Source organism: Homo sapiens, chromosome 5 (assembly GCF_000001405.40).
Source record: "Homo sapiens chromosome 5, GRCh38.p14 Primary Assembly".
Classification (NCBI taxonomy): domain Eukaryota; kingdom Metazoa; phylum Chordata; class Mammalia; order Primates; family Hominidae; genus Homo; species Homo sapiens.
The window spans coordinates 39,701,416-39,702,545 of NC_000005.10; positions in this window are offsets into that span (position 1 = coordinate 39,701,416).

A 1,130-nucleotide genomic window follows, 5' to 3' on the forward strand; every position below is an offset into this window, starting at 1 on the left:
AAAGAAGGATAATTTTTGTAGTGGAGTCATTATATTTTTGGATGATGAAATATGTGCTTTTTAAGATAGAGAGGAGGTTACGGATAATGAAAAAACTAGTAGAGTAAATAGATTAAAATTAGCTGTGGGATAAAAGAAAATTTTAACTAACCATCAAAAAATGGGATGACTGAAATTGAGATTTTGCAGATAGTGCGATCGGGCATATGGCCATATGAGGGTGGCTGGGGTAAGGAGAAGACAAGATTTTTGGCCCTTTACATTCCAAGAATTGGGAGGGCAGGGTATCAGGTGGCTATATGCTGATTTTAAAGTCACAATGATTGATGAATGGGGTGGCAGAGTCTACTAATGAGATAGGCTTAGTAGATGACATTTCACGGTGTAGGGACAATGGCAAGAACTATGGCATGTGCTTCAAAAAAGCAGGGGTTTTGAAAGAAGGTATGAAACAATTTGGAAATAACAATGGGAAGCAACGGGGCGATCCACTCCACTTCCAGACTATAAGGATCATAGGGAATAGAGAGTAACATATCTTTACTTGAGAGGGAAGTAGGAAGAAATGTTCTCAGGCAAGAGCCTGATTTTATTTAGAGCAAGAAGGTGTAGGACATTTTCAGGAAAGAAGCTGAGGATGGAAGTAAGATTGCTGAGGACAGACCAGGATTTCTAGAAGCCATAATGGGAGCATCTGAGAGGAGAGAGAAGGTTGGGTGATAAAGTCAGATTAGTGGCATTGCCAAAGAATAGAAGACTGGCATCTATGTGGTGATCTAGGGAGCTTGGATTTATGATGGTGACTGAGCGGAGCAATATGACGAGCAGTGTTGGGTTTGCTTCAGAGTGTGTGGCAATTGGAGAATTTTGATGGCTGATTGGTCCATACTTAGAAGTGCAGGACAACTGGAATCATGTAAGGTAAAAGCTTTGGGCTACTGATCTTCTTAATTCAAGTCTAATATTTTCCTTGTTGTTAACCTGGGACTCCTATATCATGTTTTTTAAAGCTCCTGTGAAGTATACAGTATTAGTTGCTCTCTAGGAGTACCAGAAAGGAAAACTTGCTCCTACTTTTTGTGAAACTCAGAGAAAAAAAAAAAAGGAAAACAACTAGGAAAATAAATATG